This window comes from Homo sapiens, chromosome 2 (assembly GCF_000001405.40).
Source record: "Homo sapiens chromosome 2, GRCh38.p14 Primary Assembly".
NCBI classification, from domain to species: Eukaryota; Metazoa; Chordata; class Mammalia; order Primates; family Hominidae; genus Homo; species Homo sapiens.
This window is the reverse complement of record NC_000002.12, coordinates 149,768,139-149,783,224: the sequence shown is the minus strand read 5'-3', so window position 1 is coordinate 149,783,224 and position 15,086 is coordinate 149,768,139. Positions and strand designations below refer to the sequence as shown.

At 35.7% G+C, this 15,086-nt stretch overlaps 2 long non-coding RNA genes across 2 annotated transcripts in view; one reads left to right on the top strand and one right to left on the bottom strand.

The window, feature by feature from the left end:
- The window catches only part of MMADHC-DT (MMADHC divergent transcript), a 260,877-nt gene that overhangs the window by 65,010 nt on the left and 180,781 nt on the right, over positions 1 to 15,086 (bottom strand). The window lies entirely within an intron of this gene.
- Positions 1 to 15,086, top strand: part of LINC01931 (long intergenic non-protein coding RNA 1931) — a 91,686-nt gene that overhangs the window by 75,967 nt on the left and 633 nt on the right. Inside the window, exon 4 of the long non-coding RNA NR_145421.1 lies at positions 13,819 to 13,905. This is a non-coding gene — a long non-coding RNA (long intergenic non-protein coding RNA 1931). The remainder of the gene's footprint in view (positions 1 to 13,818; positions 13,906 to 15,086) is intronic.

The following is a 15,086-nucleotide window of genomic DNA, read 5'->3' as shown; positions in this document are numbered from 1 at the left end:
AAAAATAATGGCTAGAATGTTATACCCCATATTGTTAACAAACATCACCTCTGGGAAAGGAAGAGAAGTTGACAGAGAAAGAGGGAGGGATGATATGATGGTATGATATACCTTCTGAGATATGCCTCTGATTTATTTGAATTATTTTATAACATTACATTTTAAATTTTGGAGCACTATAAAGACAGAGAATATGTGTGCAGTCCTTTCTACCATTTTACCTCTACTTAAGAAAAATGGAACACAGCCTTCTCAGGAAATCTAACATTTTCCTAAAACATTTTGCTTATGAGTATACAGAAGGAATTTCCTTGAGCTATACACTGCTATACAGATTAAGCAAGCAAAACCCATGCAAATACCTACAACTTTATCTCTAGCAAACATCACTCCCCAAAATAAGGATATGTAAAGGCAAGTGGAACATGAGAAGGCTAAAATAGCACCAAGATTTCTTCATGCAGTAAAAATAGCACATGCTCAAGAAGGAAATTGAATGCATTCATGAACAACCATGAAGTCATCCTGTTGTAATATTTTTACTTACACTAAACCACCCCTTCATTGTAATAAAGCTTGAATTCTATCACCAATATTCTCCCTTCATATCTAGTTTTTAAAAATTTACTAACGTCACCTCTCTCTCCATATTTACCTCCAAGGAGTATGTATGCCTCACGTTCTGCTCTGTGGATTCAGTGAAAGTCTTTCCTTTGCTAAGATCAAAGCACTACAAACTAAGTAGTGTGATCTCTGAATGTATCTGACTGCAAACTGTGTGTATAATCCTGTGCTTTATAAATATAATGATCTTATAATAGACCTGCTGAGCATAAGTGGCCAGCTTAATGCACCAGCCTGTGAATCTTCATATTAATTACTTTTGCTCCCAAACTCTATGTAGTGGAAAGAACTAGATGGGGGTTGGAATCATGGTTCTATGACTTATAAGGGGGACGTTGATAGCCACTTAACCTCTTTGAGTGTCAGTTTTCTTATCTATATAAAGTGAGGATTAAATTATTTACTTCACAAAGTTGTCTTTGTGGCTTGAGATATAAGAGCTTGTAAAACTACTTACTCAGTGCCAAGCACATAATAAGCCCACAATACGTGCTAATTTTAAAATATTATTCAGAAAGGAAATGTGAGATATCAGAGCACATTTTAAAAACTGCCAATAAAACCAAGACTGGCCTTCCATGTGGAAATAGTAGAGATGGCACCTACTTTCATAAAGTGGGATGTGAGAAAGATTTTAGCCTGGCTCTTGGCCTCCTTAAGAAATGTTCCCTTTAATTCATTTCAATGTGTCACCTAGTAAAGGTAATCTATTAAGTAGGTGACATACAAAAAGGAGTTAGGTTTTCCTCCATAGTGAATCCATCTCTACAGGCTATAACCTAGCTGAACTAAGACCTGTGGCAGACAATTAGCAAAGGGAAGCACTGCACATTGCAGGTGAAGGTGGGAAGCATGCTGAAGCCAGAGCAAAGAGAAACAAGGAAGGAAACATCAGCTCACTTTTCAGTCTCAGGCAAGGGCCACCTGCACCTATGTGGTAATGCCCATGAGTATGCACGTAGGGAATTCCATAAGCAAAAAGCCCTGTTTTGGATTTGAAGGCATCCAAGTCCTGGTTGTCATCCCTACAAAGTTTGAGTGAGTGGACTAGGCAAAGTATGCATTCAGGTGAAGGTACAGGCAGGTGTGCTGTGCTTAGAGCTATCCTAGAAATTGTACTGGGTTTGCCAAACTTCAGTTTGCAAGTTGGAACTCCCTGGTCTTGCATAACCTTGATTTAAAGTGATAATGAATAGGCCTGTTTCTGAAGCAGAAAGGAAAAAACAATGTTAAGAGAGAATAAACTCTCTTAAAGGAGGGATTAACTCTTTTGTCAAACTAGCTTCCTTGAAAAACAGCAGCAGGGAATAGTGTAAATGGGATCCAAATAGTTGTAGCATGAATGCACACTATTTTTTTCCTTATGGTTTCTCACCTCAGATTGTCCTTGAGGCAATTTTCATATCATGACGCTCACTTTTCTGATGTAGAAAATCAAAGCACGTAAAGGCATAACTATAACTTTGTTTACTGTCAATTCAGTAGCAAGCATTATAATAACTGTCATATATAAAGCATTTATCCTCTATTGCAAGATTTGACATGAATATCAATGAAAATAAAATAGAGATAATGCCGCCCATCTAATAAGGTTGTCATGAAATGTCAATTGACAATGTATGGGAGAGCTCCTGGTTCAGTCCCTAACAGATGTTATGTGTTGAGTAAATATTGGCTTTCTTTCTAAAACATTTTGTAAGTTATGCTTGTTTTATGGCTACAGTCTGGACCTGTGTAATGGTTTAAATGGATCATCTCCTTCACTAAGGATCAAATGAAGCTGAAGTTTCATGTATTTGCCAGAGAGTAATAGGTGAATGTTCTGGAGTAGTTGAGGAAGAGAAACGAATGGGACTATCTGCTTTTAATACAGAAAAGTCTGTGTTACAGGTCAAGTGCATGAAGACTTTTCCATTCTTCCAAAGAACTATGACCTCACTTAGAATACTTGCCACTAGTTAATAGGTAGATGGATGATTCCAAGTTAGTGCAACACAGAGACATATGTTAGATTTATTTCATTTGTAGAAAACAGAAAAAGGTACAATGAAAAGAAAAACATTTGGCATCTGCTTCCAGCCAAAACAGATAAAAGGAACCAGATTTACATGCCAGCCCTAAACAACACAAAGCAAGCAACAAAAGAAGCAGCAAAATACATGAAACAATGTTTTTCCCAGACAGCACAAAATAATCATTCTCAAGAGAAGGGAGACATAAGAAGTCAGCCCTATGATTACCCTCTTACAGCCTGAAAAGTTTCCAGGCTGCAGTGTAGGTAGGGGAGTCCAAAATAGTCTCCCTAAGTTGAGATGACATGGGAGTCCAAAGAGACCGAGGCACTGTGATTTACAAGGCAAGGTACTGAAGAAGAAAAAGCTGGCCAGGCACGGAGGTCCACACCTGTAATCCCAGCACTTTGGGAGGCTGAGTCGGGCAGATCACCTGAGGTCAGGAGTTTTACCAGCCTGACCAATATGGTGAAGCCCCGACTCTACTAAAAATACAAAAAACAAAACAAAACAAAAAAAACAGCCAGGCGTGATGGTGGGCATCTGTAGTCCCAGCTACTTGGGAGGCTGAGACTGGTGAATTGCTTGAACCCAGGAGATGGAGGTTACAGTGAGCCGAGATCACCTGGGCTACAGGGTGAGACTCCATCAAAGAAAGAGAAGGAAAGAGAAGGGAAGAGAAGAGGAGGGAATAGAAGAGAAGAGGAGAGGAGGGGAGGGGAGGGGAGGGGAGAAGGAAGGAAGAAAGAAGAGAAGAGAGCTAAACAGAGAGAGAGATCTCCATACCTGGAGAGGTTCTCCCCTGGGCCTTGAACTAAGTGTTGATCAGTGTATTTATGTAAGGAAATTATCCATGGCCAGGGAAAGAACCACTCAATAGGAGAAAAGGAAAAAAATCCTTAAAGCTCACACAGAAACAGGAATTGTTTGTATTCCAGTTGTATTCCCCACCAGTCGGTGAGAATCAGAAAATCTCATAATTCAGGGATTTGCCTCAGCAGTATTCTAAGCAAAGCTAGATTAAAGACTACTTTGGTCCTGCATCACAAAGCTTAAAGGCAAGCTTCAAAAGGATCAAATAACTAACAACTTATCTGTGCCTCAGAGAAAAGTTCAAGAACATTTATAGGAATACAGAAATTTCTAGTTCCTCAAAAGGAAAAATTTATGTATTACATCCCATTAAAAATTACCATGCATGCAACGAAGCAGGCAAATACTACACATAATAAAGAGAAAAATCAATCAATTGAAATTGACCAAGAAGTGACACAGATGATTGAATTAGTAATTACAGGATGTTAAAACATTCATTTATTATAATTGTATTCTATATGTTCAAGGAGGCAAAGGATTTTTTCCCCCTAGACAACTAAGATGCTTCAAAGAGTTCTTTATACTTGTCATCCTTGCTTTCTCTCCTCCTGCTTCTCTCAAACCCACTCCAATCAGTTTACATCCACATTCCTCTACACACAGTTCTCAAGGCCATCATGACCTCCGTGTTGTCATGCCCTTGGTCTGTCCTCCATCTTCATCCTCTTCGACCCATGGGCAGCAGTTGACACTTTAGTTCATTCCTTTATTTCTTGAAATTCTTCACTTGCCTTCTAGGACACCACTCGCTCAGGTTTTCTCCTATTTTCTCAGCTACTGCTCTTCTGACCTTTTTGCTTGTTTCTCTTCATCTTCCTGACCTTTAAATTTTGGAATATTCCATGGTTTAGTTCTCAGGTCTTTTTCCTTCCCTATCTATATTCATTCCTGAGGTGATCTTATCTGGTCTCAGGACTAAACACCATCCACACAACTCCCAAATGTACATCTCCATCTCCAGCCTAGATATCTTTCTAAATTCCTGAATTCTGTAATTAAATGTCTAATACGTATTCCAAACTTCACAAGTTGAAAGCACTTGATTTTTCTGACCTAGCTTTGCCCAACTTTTCTTCCTATAGGCTTTCCCATGTCAATACATGTCATACTTCTTCTCAGCCACGAGTCTCAGTCATCCTTGAGATTTTTTCTTTTACAACTCACATCTGCTCCACCAGGAAATCTTGATGCTTCTACTTTCAAAGAGTATCGAGAATTCAACCACTTCCAACCACCTCCACTGTCCCCTCCCCCATATATCTCATATGGATTACTGTCATTACTTCCAGAGTGGTCTTTCTGCTTACACTTTCGCTTATTTCCAGCCTGTTTACCATCCAGCAGCCAGAAAAAATCTTTACGAATTCAAGTCATAACTCATCACTGCTCCACTCAAAGCCCCCCAACACTGTTTATTTCATTGACAGTAAAACCTCACTGGTTTTACAATGGCTGAAAAAGCCCTGCTCAATCTCAGAGCATGGGTTCCACCCAACCCCACCTGCTTCAGCTTCCACCACTTTATTCCTTCCTCTGTCTGCTCCATTGTCACTGGCCTCCTCGCTTGTCCTTAGACATACCAACACACCCTCACCGTTGCACCTCCTGTTCCCTCAGCTTGGAATCATCTTTGGCTGGTAAATCTATGCCCTGTTTCCCTATGTCCTTCAAGTCTCTGCTCAAATGTCTTTTTCTCAGAGAAGCCTTTCCTAATCACCCTGTAGGAGGAGCACATCCTATCTTTTTCTCTAGATTATCAGCTAAATGAATGAATGAATATTCATCTTCTAATGCAATTATCTCTTTAGAGTAGAGATATGGGAGTGGGATCACTGACTCCAAGGATATAGATATTAAAGATATATTTGACATATTTGACCAATTTATGTTCCTATCAACAGAGTACACAACAATGCCATTGCCCCAACCCTCACCAAAAGCAGTCTTGTCAATTGCTTTTATTTTTAGTGAACTGATAGGCAAAATATTTTTTATTCAATTTTTTTTTATTCAAATTTTGGGATTAGTTGCATGTTTTATGTATATTTTATCAAGAATTTGTACATGTATCATTTATGTATATTCCTAGATTATGTTATTTGTTCACTTTTATATTATGATTATTTCTTTTTTTGACTTGTTCAGTGTATTATATCTGTTTAAATTGTAAAAGGAAGAAAAAAGGCAAAATAAAGCTTGAGATTATAGGACATGGAATGTATTTTTCAAAAACAGACACAAATTGAACTTCTAGAGATTAAAATATATATATAATATATTGTATATATTATATATATTATATTATATATCTATATTATATTACATATATTATATAATATATATATACACACATACATATTTTATTTCTAAAACTGTGCATTTAGGCAACAGGGCATAAATAGTGAACTGAAGACCAAATTAATATCGCTTTCTGGCCCAATTAAGTGTACATTTCCATTTTGCCTTTTCTGTAACCTGCTTAGATCCCACCTTGTATTATAGAACACTGAGGAAATCACTTAACTTCTCTGAGCTGTACTTTCTTCACTCATGAAATGGTGGTAACACTAACCTGAAGAAATATTGAGAGAATTAGAAAAAGTCTGTACACGTCATGGGTCAGTAGTCCTAACAAAGATGCCTGTTTGGTGCTGCCTTTGCTGTCCACCACTGCAGGTGTTGAGGAAGCATCTCTCCCACCAGCTTACGCCCACCTGAGCACCAGAACCCCCAGTGGGCTGGGGACAGAAGTTTCCCATTTTCGGTGTCTTAATTTCAGTATCCAAGGACTTCTTCTCAGCTGGTCCCAAGATGTCTAGTAGGCTTCTGAATTAGGTTATCTAACAGCCCTGAGTAATACTTTACTGAATCAAGTATTAAAATTATAAGCAAAAAGAAATAAAACGTGGAAACTACAAGAAACCAAACCTGTCCCGCAGTATATTTTGAAAGACACCTAAAACTATTTTCAATGTAGTATTTTACATTTTTTATTGTGGATTATAAAACATTTACAGGAAATGCCACAAAATTAAATGTATCATTCAATAAATTTTCATAAAGTAAACATGAATGTGGCCACCACCCTGGTCAAAGAAACAGCCGGGTGCTGAATGCTGGGTGCTGGGTGCTGGTGCTAGTGCTGTAGGAGCTTATAGGCACCACAGGAACTTCCCTACATAGCCCCTACCTCTAATCATTATTCTTTCTTCCTCCTCTACAAAAGAAATCACTATCCTGAATTCTAACATTATAATTTAGTTTTGCCTGTTTTTGAGTGTTGTGTAAATAGAATCATATCGTAGATGTTCCTCTATAATTGACATTTTTCTCTCAATACTGTGTTCATGAAATATATGCATGCTACAGTATGTAGCTATAGTTTTTAATTTTTATTGCTGTATAACATTTCTTTGTGTCAATATTCCATAAATAAATAAACTAATAGTTTATTGATCCAGGACACTATTGATTGATCTTTGAGTTATTTCTAGTTTGGGGGATTTTAAAGTAATATTATTATAAACCCTCATGTATCCAACTCTTGGTGTTTCTTTTGTATAATAATCTGACAATAAAGTTTATGGTTCATGGTATATATGTATTATCTATTCTTAGTAGATAATATCAAACAGCAGTTTTCTAGGTGGGTGCACTAATATTCACTCCCACTCACAACCAGTTCCAGGAACTCTACACATTTGCCAACATTTGGTATTGTTGATATCTTGATTTTTATCTACTCTAATACATATGCAGTGGTACATCATTTGGTATTAATTCACATTTTTCTTAAGACTAATAAGGTTTTCCAGGCATATTGGCCATTTCCTAACCTTGCTGGCCATTTGTACATCTTTTGTGAAATGTCTGTTCAAGTCGCTCCAATTTTTTCACTGTTATCTATATTTTGCTTACCAATTTGTATTCATTCTATATATATTCAGGACACAAAAGCCACTTATCAGATATACTTGTGGGAAATATCTTTTCTCCTTTCAGAACTTACTTTTTCCTGTATTTTTTGATAAATAAATAATTTTAATTTAGATAAATTAATAAATCTTTTCCTTTGTGGTTATCTTTCTCTACTGAAGGGAATAAAGCACTTTTTCCTATTATCTTCTGGAAGCATAATTTGTTTTTTACAATTAAGTTTACTATCTTTCTGAAATTAATGTTCATTTATGGTATATGGTAAAGATCAAATTTATATTTTCTATATTGATATTCAATTTACTCAAAACCATTTATAGAAAAGAAACTCTGTACTGCTCTACACTAGCAAATTTGTAATGAATTAAGTGTGCATTTGTGTTTCAGTCTGTTTCTGGGCTCTCTATTTTATTCTACTAGCCTATTTATCAATACTTGAATAAATACCACATTAGCCTGAAATTGTATACTAATTCTTAATATCTTCACCAGAAAGTCCTTCTGTCTTGTTTTCCACTATATAAGTATGTCAGCTAATTTTAGTTCAGTATGTTTCTATGTTTTAGAATTAGCATGTTAAGTGACATACAACATACATACAAACATAAAAATTATTGAAGTATTTTATGGGAATACATAGATACTATAGATCATTTTGAGAAGAAATGACATCTTTACAATATCATTTATTTATTTAGGTCTTCTCTAATTTCTACAAATAATGCTTTATAGTTGTCTTTGAAGCCCTCTCGCATATTATTAACTCAATTTATTTCTAGATAAACTGTATTTTAAATTTCATTGTGGAAAAAATACAACATAAGCAACACCATTCTGAACATAGGAACTGGCAAACAGTTCATGACAAAGATGACAAAAGCAATCACAACAAAGGCAAAAATTGACAAATGGGATCTAATTAAACTAAAGAGCTTCTGCACAGCAAAAGAAACTATCAACAGAGTAAACAATCAACCTACAGAATGGGAGAAAATTTTTGCAAACTATGCATCTGACAAAGGTTTACTATCTAGCATCTATAAGGAACTTAAACAAATCTACAAGAAAAAAACAAACAACCCCATTAAAAAGTGGGCAAAGACCACAAACAGACACTTTTCAATAGATGACATACATGCAGCCAACAAACATACAAAAAAAAGCTCAATATCTCTGATCATTAGAGAAATACAAATCAAAACCACAAGGAGATACCATCTCATTCTAGTCAGAATGGCTATTATTAAAATGTCAAAAAATTAAATGCTGACAAGGTTATGGAGAAAAGGAACGCTTATACACTATTGATGGAAGTAAAAATTAGTTCAACCATTGTGGAAAACACTGTGATGATTCCTCAAAGAGCTAAAAAGAGAACTACCATTCATTCCAACAATCCCATTATTGGGTACATACGCAAAGGAATATAAATTATTCTACCATAAAACAAATGCACACGTATATTCACTGCAGCACTATTCAAAATAGCAAAGACATGGAATCAATCTATATGCCGGTCAATGGCAGATTGGATAAAGAAAATGCGGTACATATACACCATGGAATACTGTGCAGCTATAAAAAATAATGAGATTGTGTCCTTTGTGAGAACATGGATGGAGCTGGAGGCCATTATCCTCAGCAAACTAATGCAAGAACAGAAAACCAAATACCACATGTTCTCACTTATAAGTGGGGGCTAAATGGTGAGAACACTTGGACACACAGAGGGTAGCAACAGACACGGGTCTACTTGACGGTGGAGGGTGGGAGAAGGGAGGAGATCAGAAAAAATAACTATTGGGTACGAGGCTTGGTACCCTGGTGATGAAATAATCTGTACAACAAACCACCATGACACGAGTTTACCTCTGTAAAAAACCTGCACATGTACCCCTGAACCTAAAAGTTTTAAAAAAATGAAAAGTCAAAAAATGTAAAAAATAAAATTTATTGATTTATCCCAAAAAAGAAATGTAATTAAATGTTTATATTTAACAAATATTCAGCAAGTAGCTAAACTCACTTATTAATTCTAATAACTTGTTTGTAATTTTAAGATTACTTTTGTATGAAAATCATGTCATCTGAGAATAATGGTAGCTTTATTTTTAATTTTCCCAACCTTATATATTTTCCTATTTTTGTAAATTTATTTATTGCATAAGATCTCCTATATATGGTTGAATTGTAAGGATGATAGTGGCCATCTTTGCCTAATTTCTGACAACAAAGGGAAAGCTTTATAACTACTTCATTTAGTATTATATTTACAATAAGTTTTATTCAGACCCTATTTATCAGATTAAAGATGAGTTCTTCTGACCTCAATTTGCCAAACCTTTTTTTTATCGTGAATGAATGATTTATCAGAAATCTTTTGCACATTTTATGGTAACATTATTTTTCTGCTCTACTCTGTTAATGTGGTAGTTTATATTGGCTATTTTTCAAAAGGTAAATAACTCAACTTGTTGGATTATCTGTTTTCATAGTTGCTAGATATGGTTTACTAATGTTTTGTTTAGGATGTTTTTCATCTACATTCAGAAGTGAGATTGTGCTGTAATTTTTCTTCCTTTTATTGTTGCCAGATTTTAGTGTCAAAGATATCTTCATAAAACAGGTTGTGAAATGTTTCTTTTTCGTTATTCTTAGACATGTTTGTGCAAGCCTTTTTATATCTTGTTTTAAATTTTTAATAAAATTAAGTGGTGAAATCCTCTTGGCCTAGCATTTTATATGTGGAAAAAGGTTTCAGTTTTTAATTAAAGATTCAAGGTACTTAATAGTTACAGGATTTACACATATTCTCTCTTTCTTTCCTGTCACTTTTGGTAAATTATGATTTTCTAGGAATATATACATCACCTCTATATTTTGTATGGATTCAAATCTAGTTGTTCTTGACAGTTTCTTATTTTTAGTATTTATAGAGTATATAGTAATGTTCAGTTTTCATTCCTAATATTGGTGATGCGTTTAATTTTTTTGTAGAAATTTTGTGCCTTTTCCTAATTGTTTTCTAAACATGATTATGATCACTGTTATCAATTTTATTAATCTTTTCAATGACAAAGTTTTATTTTTATGTATAGTATATATAAAATTTATCTTTGTAAATTTTCTCTAATGTTTGCTTCTAAACTAATTTCTGCCCTTTATTATTGTCTTCCTTCACATTTCCTTATTTCCTTATTTTCTTTCTTTCTTTTTTTTTTTTTTTTGTTAGATGGAGTCTTGCTCTGTCACCCAGGCTAGAGTGTACTGGCATGATCTCAGCTCACTGCAGACTCCGCCTCCCGGGTTCAAGCAATTCTCCTGCCTCAGCCTCTGAGCAGCTGGGATTACAGGCGCCCACCACCACGCCTGGCTAATTTTTGTATTTTTTAGTAGAGATGAGGTTTCACCATCTTGGCCAGGCTGGTCTCAAACTCCTGACCTCATGATCCACCCGTCTCGGCCTCCCAAACTGCTGGGATTACAGGCATGAGCCACTGCGCCCGGCCTATTTCCTTATTTTCTAACTTTCAGCAATACATGCTTAGCTTGTTGATTTTCAGTCTTTACTTTTTAAATATATCCATTTAATGCTTAAATTTCTCTTTAAATATTCCTTATCTGCAATCTCATAATATTTAGATAAGTTCTTTCACTGTCACTTGATTCAAAATATTCATAATTTCCGTTTGGAATCTTTCTTTGATCCATGGGTTAAGCAATCTATTTTTTAACTGCTTGATTTGTTAATTATTGAGAGCAGTGTCTAAAGATACATCTCTATGATTATATGTTAAGCTATTTTTCCTTTTATTCTGTCAACTTTTTCATATATTTGAGGCTACATGTTTAAATGTACAGTAGTTACATTTTCTTAGTGAGTTCCTTTTATCACCTTTCATCATGACATTCTTTATCTCTGGAAATGCTTTAGTCTTTATAGTCTGATCATCGTCAGACAATAATACCAGTTTTTGCTTGGTTAACATTTTGTGGTATTAATTTTTTAAATAATTTTGCTTGTAATTTAAGGATTCTTACATTTTTGAGGCATTTCTTACAAACAGCACATATAGGGTTGCTTTCATTTTACCCAACTGATCTCTACATTTTAATTATAGAATTGGGCCGATTTACCTGTAATATAATTACTAATATAACAGAGACTAAATCTACTATAATTTACCATGACTTCCATTTTTCCCCACCAGCTTTTGTAACGTAACATTTTCCTCTCCTTTCTTCCCTTCATCTAGATTGATCTTGTTCACTCTCCTTTCCCCTCCCCCTCACCAAGAAAAGGCTTTCTTTACTGTATTTTAGTAGTGAACAAAGAGATTATAATCTGCTACTCACTAGAATATGATGGTAGCTGGTATTTTTGCCCTGTTCCTAAACAAGGAAAAGTTAATAAAACACTTTGTTGCCATTTACCCACCTCCCAACAATCTGCCTTAATTTTATATATATTTTAAATCACCAGGACATTATCATTTCATATAGTCAACATTCAGATAGTGTTTTATACAGACAGTTGTCATTTAGATTTGTCCTCATATTGAACAAACTTTTATTCTTTATTTCTTCTATCATTTTTAAACTTCGATCTGGGATCATATTTCTCCTACCAGAAATAGAAGCTTTAATATTTCCTTTAGTTCTTTAATGTTTCCTTTTTATATGGCATTGATAAATTCTCTTACTCTTGTTTGACTGAAATATATATATTTCACCCTTATCCATAAAAACATTTTGTATATGCATAAACGTCTAAGATGTCATGAATTTTTTTTCAGCAATGTAAAGATGCTCCATTATATTTTGGCTTCCATAGGTTCTGGTAAGGAGTGTGTTCTGAGTGAAAGTCTTTTGACAGTAATCTCTTTTCTTTTTCCTGGTTTCTTGAAGTTATATTATGATGTACCTAGATGTAGCTTTCTTGCCATTTTTACTCCTTATATAGTGTTTCTCTGTTTGAATCCTCAAGAAGCAGACACTGGGGCCGGGCGCGGTGGCTCACGCCTGTAATCCCAGCACTTTGGGAGGCCGAGGCGGGCGGATCACGAGGTCAGGAGATCGAGACCATCCCGGCTAAAACGGTGAAACCCCGTCTCTACTAAAAATACAAAAAATTAGCCGGGCGTAGTGGCGGGCGCCTGTAGTCCCAGCTACTTGGGAGGCTGAGGCAGGAGAATGGCGTGAACCCGGGAGGCGGAGCTTGCAGTGAGCCGAGATCCCGCCACTGCACTCCAGCCTGGGCGACAGAGCGAGACTCCGTCTCAAAAAAAAAAAAAAAAAAAAAAAAAAGAAGCAGACATTGTGGCACAGATGAATGTGGCATTACTTTATTTGAGAAGTGCAAACCCAGGGTAGTATAGGTATGGAAAACGGGAAATGAGACAAGAAAATATGCAAGGAATGTCATAAAATGTGTTACCATGCTGACTATTACATCAAGCTGCCAAGAAACGTGGTAGCTGCTCAGTAGCTGAGTTTACTTTCCGGCATACATAACTTCTTAATAAGGGGTGCAAGAAGGAACCACACCTAGGAATATTCCATGGAAGAAAGAACAGAGCTAACTCTCCAAAACTGGGTAACTGTGTTACCTTATCCCTTGATGGCCATTCAGGAAACCAGACAATGCCTGGGAATATAATCTATCCAGCTTGAAACTAAGGATTCGTGTCTGTTATTAATTTAGAACATTCTCAGGCATTACTTCTTCAAATGTTGCTTTTGCCTTATTCTGCCTCTTTTTCTAGGATTCCAGTTACATGCATGTGAGACTGTCTTACCATATCCTCTACATCTCAGTCCCTCTCTTCCATTTTCCCATTTTTTTGCTTATCTGGGTTTCATTCTAGATATTTTACTCTAGTCTAACTTCCAGTTGCTACATTAAAAAAAAAAAGTTCAGCTATATCTAATCTGCTTTTAATCCCATACGTTGAGTTCTAAATTTCAGATATTAGGTTTTCCAATTTTATAATTTCTCTTGGAATTTTTAGAGTTACTAGGCCTCTCCCAAAATCCTCAGTGTGTTCTTTCATCTTCTTGAATACTTTAAGCATAGCTATTTTAAGTGTTAAGTCTGATTGCTATATTAATTGGAGGCCAAGTGGGTCTTTTTCTATTTTGTTATTATTTTCCTATCTTTTCTTTTACTGTTTCATTACTCTACATGACTCGCAGTTTTAACTGAGGATTGTGTATTGCATATATTGCCTTTTTGCAAGAAGAATTTGCCTCTAGCAGATACCTACTATGAGCACATTCAATCGGAAATCAACAATTTTCAAGGAGAAGGCTAGAAATAGTCCTCTAAAAATATAGCGGCAGAAGTAAACTTTGTTTTTTCTTTATATAGATTCTTTCTATGTTGCCCAGGCTGATCTCAGATTCCTGGGCTGAAGTGATCCTCCTGCTTCAGCCTCCAGAGCAGCTGGGATTACAGGTGTGAGTCACCATCTCCTATATACCTTATTCTGCATACATCATTTCTTGTAATGAAACAATATTCTTTTAAGTAGTTTTATCCTCTTATTCAAGAGGAGAATGCAGAAGATGAAAGTGCCAATAATTTAATTAAAAATATGCCTCTAGTATGTAGCAGAGAAGAAATTCAAATTCTGCTCTATGATGCCAAATATTCTACTCATGCCACCACACTACAAGACCTCTGCTAACCCTCTCTACACATAATTTAACCAGATCCAGTTGTAGTTACAGAAGTAGTCAGGATTGTCTGAAATTTAGTCAGAAACTCTTCTAAATTACCTATGTACAATAGTAAGCAATCTGCAAGGAAAATCTGTAAGATAAATAAAACCTGGAGAGTGAGTTTTTAAAAACAAACCACCAACCAAAAACTCTGACATAAGGAAAACAAAATCAAAGGCTGACTGAACAAACCTTTACTCTGGGACTGATTTGTTTAATGTGTCAGAGTAAAACCCCATCCAGTCAACTGTCCCCTGATGAGAACTCTTGGAAACTCAACTCCTTGTATGCTTTGGGCAGCTTTATGCTTGAACTCTTTAGCTAGACATTCTCCTCCAGATCCAGGTCCTCACAGTTAAAATTACAGGGGAATTTACAGCACTACATTCCTCCTCTCATGTGGTGGGAGGAAAGGGAAAAGAGTTTCACCATCCCTTTTTAAAAAATGATTTAAACTCTTTCAAGACTTCGTGCTTTTTATTGAACCATTTATGGAAAATTTTGAAGAGGTTCAGTGAATTCCATTAAAACAGAACTTAAATTAAAAGGAATTTCTTCCTCCTGGAGTTCCATGGTATTTATTTGACTCTCACATCAATTAGGCTATGACTCACTCTTTTTAAGAGGCAGTTTGGTTAGGTATCTTATTTGGCCTTAATTTAATAACCTAACATAAGCTGTTGAGCTCAGTAATTACTACCTTGCTGGGAGACACTTCTGCTTTGAATCTTTCACAAGCACAGCTGAAGGTCTGAATGCTGCCGTTTCTATTTGTCTTTATTCTCAGAGTTTGTATTATTGAAGGTTTGCATAGTTTCCAAGAACATCACTGTATTTGAGACTTAGATATTGAATATAAAGGTATTTCAGCATAATATTTGTGATAGAAGCTAAAAAAATAAAAGAATTCAAGTG